This window comes from Homo sapiens, chromosome 1 (genome assembly GCF_000001405.40).
Source record: "Homo sapiens chromosome 1, GRCh38.p14 Primary Assembly".
Classification (NCBI taxonomy): Eukaryota; Metazoa; Chordata; class Mammalia; order Primates; family Hominidae; genus Homo; species Homo sapiens.
In genome coordinates this window covers 16,779,722-16,786,764 of record NC_000001.11, presented here as the reverse complement: position 1 = coordinate 16,786,764, position 7,043 = coordinate 16,779,722, and positions in this window count along the sequence as shown.

Sequence of the window (7,043 nt, the reverse complement as noted above, 5' to 3'; positions counted from 1 at the left end):
TTCCCCTGCCTTACACTCAGGCTGCTGGCCTGCCCTGCAAAGGTTCTGCTGGGACTCTGCTTGTCTCCAGAATAAGCCAGTGGCCAGAGAATCCTTTGAGCCAACCTCTCCGTGGGCCGGCATGGAGGTGATAAATCTTTTGTATTGACCCAGGAGAAAGCCCCAGCAACAAAGACCAATTTATTTTCTTAGTAAATCACAAAATGTTCCTGCAGCAAACTCCTGGGACTATGCAAAGCATCACAGTCCCTAGGAGGAAAAAGGGATGGGCTGGCTGGACGGGAGCTGAAATATGTCCATCTGGCCCAGTGAATGTCAGAGTGCACCCCAGCTGACCACATGAAACAGTCTCTATGAAATGCAGATGTTTGGTAGGGTTGGGTGTTGCTTCCCCCGCAATTTAAAAGCCTTCCATGCCTGCTGCTTACTTATAGACTTCTTCCTCCCCACACTGTTTGGCTCAGTGGGTTCGAGAGGGTGTTTTGGGGTGTTTGGATAACAGTGCATTGTGGTGGTGGGATTTATTAACAACAGCCATTCTTCCCCACTCCTGCAAGTTGCTGCCTCATAGTCCGTATTTAATGTTTAAATTAAGGTGAATTAAAATTAATTTTGTTGGAGGAATTCTGCAGCTCCCGCTTGAGATAAGTGGAGACACCCTGGGGTGATATAAAATTGAGGTTAGGAATTGCTGCATTGGAGTGCTGTGCTAATGAGGTGAAGGTCAGGGGTTCAATTCCCTTGTGAAGGGAGCAGTTAATTTCACTCTCCCTCACGGCCTCAGATTCCACCCTTAACCCTGGCCGTCTGCCTCCAAGAGGAGCCACTGGTCACCAGCAGGACAAAGTGAGATAGAGGACCAGATCTATACAAATCCACCAAACCCGTTAGAATGACAACCCAAAGCATGACCCATGAGTAATGTGCCAGGATTTTTAATTTTGCAAATGACAGCACTATTATATTATTACTTTATATTAGAGTAAACATGTACAAATATGGACAATACCAATGAATCAGATGTCATGGGTTCCAAATTCTCTAAGGCATTACTCTTACTTCCCAAGTGTTTAGCTACCTTGTTAGAGAGACAGCTTAATAAATGTATTGTGTATATCATGGTCACAGTCAATTCTTCTTGAGCCTTAAGAGGGAGAGAAGTGGTGTGGATCTCTCCAAACAAAAGATAGTACCAATATCACTCATATTTAGTTTGGAAAAGATGATACAATTTAGGGACAGCAGATTGCCCTCCTTAATTATGTTTTTCTTTAGCTAATAGTAATATTAGTTTGCATTCCCCTGAACATGTTGACGGATGGCAGAAAAGAGAGCCCAAATGCTCAAAAAGGGAGGAAGTTCAGGATTAAGCATTTGTCAGGGATAATCCACAGAATAGAGATAATCCAACTTCATTAATCAAAAGCTATCTCTATCCTACTAATTATCAACTTACCATTGTCCTTGTTAGAAAATAGAATTTTAGGCCGTTGAATTTTCTCTAATTCACTCCCCTCTCTTGTGTATCTAGGTTCTACTCCAGCCCAAAGGCCAACCTAAGTGACACCTTCTAGCCAGGGCAACACTGGCCTCCGCTGCCTGGGGCCTTCTGCAGCACTTATGGTATATGCTAAATTGTGGTTTAGAAAGTGTGTTTCCTTAGTGCTTGAGGGCAAGGCTCAAATTTTTAGGTTCCTATATGTCTCACAGGGCCTAGCACAACACTGAACATCCAATAGGTGCTTAATAATAGCATGCTCATTAACATTGACAGACTAATTACAGTAAGGAATAATGAAGAATTACCACCCTCTTGCCCCATTTGACAAAATTCAACACCCATTCATTAGAAAACCTCTCAGAAAAATAGGAATAGAGGGGGACTTCCTCAACTTACTAAAAAGCATCTATAAAACCCTATAGCTAACATTATACTTGATGATGAAAGGCTGAATGCTTTCCACATAAGATCAAGGAGAGGCAAGAATGACCACTCTACCACTCCTATTCAACTTCCTACTGGAAGTTCTGCCAGTGCAATAAAATAAGAAAATAAAATAAAAGCAGATAGTTTGGAAAGGAAGAAATAAAACCATCCCTATGATTGTGAACATAGACAATCCCAAAGAATCTATAAAACAAACCAAAAAAAAAACCCTAGAACTAATGAGTTCAGCAATGTTACAGAATAAGAGATAAACACATGAACTCAATTCTATTTCTGTATACTGCAATGAACAAGTGGACACCAAAATTACAAATGCAATGCCATTTGCAGTCACTCAAGAGAAATGAAATACGTAGGTGTAAATCTAACAAAATATGTGCAGTACTTGTGTGCTTAAAATTCCTACAAAAGAAACCAAATAAGAGCTAAAATACATGAAGAAGCATTACAAATTCATGAATCAGAAGACTCAACAGTAAAGATGTCAATTCTCCCCATCTTGATATATGGGTCAATATAACTGCAAACAAAATCCCAGCAATATTATTGCATAGATCTAGACAAGATTATCCTAAATGTATATAAAATGGCAGAGAAACTAGAATAGCTAAAACAATTTTGAAAAAGAAAAATGAAATGGGATAGATTAGTCTACCTAATGTCAAGATTTACTGTATAGCTACAGTGATCAAGGCTACATGCTATTAGTGAAGGGATAGATACACAGACCAGTGGAAGTTAATAGAAATAGGCCCACGCAAAATTTCCAACTGACTTTAGATAAGGGTACAAAGGCAATTCAATGGAGGAAAGATACCCTTTTCAACAAATGGTATGGAAGCAATCGATATTCATAAGCAAAAAATAAATAAATAAACCTCAATCTAGTCTCACGCTTCATGCAGAAATTAACTCCAAATTGATCATGGATTTACATGTAAAACATAAAACGATAAAACTTATAGAGAAAAAAAGAGAAAATATTTGAAAGCTAGGGCCAGGCAAGGAATTCTTAGACTTGATGCCAAAAGCATGAGCCATAAGAGGAAAAATGGTTAAATTAGACTTCATCAAAGTTAAACATTTGCTCTATGAAAGACCCTGTTAAGAGGATGAAAAGTCAAGCTACAGACTGGGAGAAAATACTTGCAAACTGCCTATCTGACAAAGGACTAGTATGTAGAATATAGAAAGAACTCTCAAAACTCCACAGTAAAAAAAATAAAAAATAAATAAATAAGAATTTTTAAATTTGAAGAAATGAGAAAAGACATGAAGAGATATTTAACTGAAGAGGAAAATATACAGGTGGCAAATAAGCATATGAAGAGGTAATTTAAAATCATTAGCCATTAGGAAAATACAAATTACAACCACAATGAGATATCATTACATGACTATTGAATGGCTAAAAGAGTGACAACCACAAATGCTGGCAAGGATGTGGAGAAACTGGATCCCTCATACATTGTTGGTGAGAATGTAAAATGGTGCAATCACTCTAGAAAACAGTCTGACAGTTTCTTATAAAACTAAACATGCAAGGTCTGTGCAACCTGGCATGCACTCCTGAGCATTCATCCCAGGAAAAAAAAAAAAAAAAACACAAAAAACTTAGGTTCCCACAAAAACCCACATGTGAATGTCTGCAGCAGCTTTGTTTGTAATCCCCCCAAAGTGGAAAAAACCAGCTGCCCTTCAGGTGGAAGGTGAGTGGTTAAACAAACTGCAGTACATCTCTATTATGGAATACTACTCAGCAACAAAAGAGAAAACTATTGACACATGCCACAACCTGGGTGAACCTCCAGACGGTTGTGCTGAGTAAGAAAAGTCAAGGTTGCATGCTGTGTAATTCCATTCATATGAAATTCTTGACATGACAAAATTATAACTTTAGTTATACAAAGAACAGTTTAGTAGTTATACAAAGAACAGTTTAGTAGTTATACAAAGAACAGTTTAGTAGTTGTCAGGAGTTAAAGATGGGGCAGAGATGGGGAGAGTAAGAGGACGCAGGTGCGGCCACAAAAGGGCAACATGAGGGACCTTGGTGATGACGGACATGTTCTGAATCTGGACTCTATCAATGTCAGTGTCCTGTTTGTGAAATCATACAATAGTTTTGAAGGTATTACCTTTGGGAGAAACTGTATAAAAGGTACATAGGTCTCCACATCATTTCTTACATTTGCATGTGAACCTACAATTTCTCTCAAAATGAAAAGTCCAATTAAATAATAATCACCCTTATCTGTCCATGCTGGAGAGAGGTGTTACGCTGCCAGAGTTTCAGATCTGCTCTGAGCACCATGATCTGGGTTTACCATCATCCTCATAATATACTCCCTCTTGTATTCCAGATAGAAACAATAAGTACTGAAGAGTCAGCAAGCTGTGCTCAGGAATTGCACCAAAATGATAATGCTCCGGGTGTTGAATTTGCCAGCACAGGGACTCTGGGTGGCAAATAGCGGCCGTGCAAGTACGGATATAGGGCAAGGAACTCAATATGGAGCCAAGTTTCAGGAGGAAGATCAGAGAATTAGATTAGGGAATAGATCTAATCTATTAGAGATTAGCAAGCAAGCAAGCAAGCAAGAGAATAATCAGGAGTCTAAAAGTATTTATTGATCAGGAATAAGGGCTGGGCACCTCACTTGGGACTCAAGGCCATGACTTGGCCAAGCAACAAAGATAACACTTAAGGCCATGCTCATGGTAGGCAGAAGAGGCATTCCCTTATATATCTCCTAGTTCATTCAACAAATGTTTAGTGAGAAATTCTCAGAGGTCGCTCACCAAGGCAGGTGCCCAAGACACAGACCTGGTCAGCTAAAGTTCCCTGGCTTCTAGAGGAAGCAGAATAGCAAGAATGCTTGGGAACACATCAGGAGGAACATCATTTCCAGGGTTGTGTAGTCAGATAACACGTTATATGAGGAAGTGGTGTGGAAGTGTGGGGTGCAGAGGAGGCGAGATTCATGCAGAGAGAAGGTCTCATGGCCCTGAGCTGAGAGGTTACAGGACCATTAGCACAGCTGGGGTTCTTCTGTAAAGACAGGAAAGCAGAAGTCAGGAATTGAGGGATACGGCTGGTGTTTGTGGGCTATGCTGGTTATGAGCAAAGGCTCAAGTCAGGGAAATACCACACAGCAGGCGATTGTGGACACTCTCACTCCATGGATCACAAAGAACCACAGGCCAAGATAGGCCAGAACACTGGATCATCTTTCCCTGGAGGAGTCAGAGCCCTATAATCTATGAGGCCCTCATGGGTTCTTTCATCCCCAGAGCTCCAGGTGTAGCTGATGTTCCTCCTCCCTCTGCTGGAACCCTCTGACTCTCAAATAGGCTTCACACATGAAGCCGGGAGATTGTTTTATACTCTAAATAACTTTCTGTTTCTACAACAGATGGGAAGACTGTATCTTCTAGCCTAATTGGAGGCTCACAATTCCAGGGAGAATTTCGGCTGGGCAGGAGCTCTCTTCCTCTGAGATTTTATTTCCCAGGGACATTCCATACTTGGCCCATGACAGAGGCTGCAGTTGCCCAAGGGAACAATGCGTCAAGGGCCACTCATCCTTTGGAAAGCAGAAGTCCAGATACCAGAGTAAAACCATAACTCATTAACACTTCCAACAAGTATTTATTATGTGTTGAGCAATCTGTGCCAGCCCTGATGACCTAATGGTGAGCAAAACCATGTTCTGTCTTCCTGCAACCTGCAATCTGGCAAGTGGGTCAAAGAGCCTAAAGAAGGTATTAGTTAGAATACAGGTGCAGCAATTCTAACAGAACCTCAAAATACTAGGGTTCAGATAAGATGGAACTGCATTTACCTTTCACAAGGGTGGGCAGTCGAGACCCAGGTACCTTCCACCTTGTTGCTCCAGCATCCTGAGTGTGTGGCCCTCATCCATGTGGTCCAAGATGGTTCACCATCACCATGATAGCCACACTCCAACAAGGAGGAAGGAAGAGAAAGGTGGGAGAATGGAAGGAATAAACCCCTCTTTTCAAAGGTCCAGAGGTCACACCACACTGAAGCTCAAACTCTTCTTGCAGAAATCAGTCCCATGACCACACCAGGCTGCAAGGGATACTAGAGAAAGCAGTTTTTAAGTAGACAGCCGTGTGCCGGACACTCTTTCAATTATCGTGGAAGAAGGTGAGCATGGATACTGCAGGTGAGTAGCAATCTCTAATGAAGCAGGTGGGTGAGTAAAGAGAGGACGCAGCTCTCCAAAAACAAAAGCAAATAAGTGATCAGAGCTGAGCAGAAAGGGAAAAACCCACAAATGCACAAGATCTAAAGGGCAGGAGGAAAGGAGGGGAAATATCAAAAAACAAAGGGAACACAGATTCCGAACCTGGGCTTTGGAATATCTAGGCACTGCATCTATATTTCCTCCCAAGACAGGCATCACCCCACACGTACAGGCGGGAAAGGTATGAAGAGAAGAGTGTTTGCCTGCAGCAGGTCTGATGAAATGAGCTCCTCCAGGGCTCACGCTTTTAGCTCCAGACTGTCCATTTTGAAAAATCACTAAGAAGACTAATGGTGCTGCCCATCAGTAGTGCCAACCTATTGCCTTGCCAACCATCCTAATGGCCACAATGATGCTAATGATGATGGCAGTGTTGATGCTGGATATGTTATTTGTCTCACTGGAGCAGCAGTGGATTCCCTTGACATCCTTGGCTGAAACGTGCGGTGAAGTAGAAACCTTAATTGGCGCAATGCTGGTAGGCAAGGGGGAAATTCACAGCAAACCTAAGCCCTTCCTCTGTAGGACGGGAGGCGAAACAATAGCAAAGGCACTCTGAGAGTGCATGGTCCTAGGACTCTCAGAACGTGCTCATCTCCCCTCACTCAGTCCCCAACATGTTTCAGGTTTATTTAGCTTTTCATATTTTCATGAAAAAGGCACAATAACAGCCAAGTACATTTTCCAACCATTGAGTTCTACCCACTCTGTGCCAGCCACTGTGCTGAGTGTTCAGCAGCATTTCAAAATGCTTTCATGACATCTCCTTTGGGTCTTTACTCTGTGAGGTAAGGGCAGTAGATATCAGAGACATTTCCACG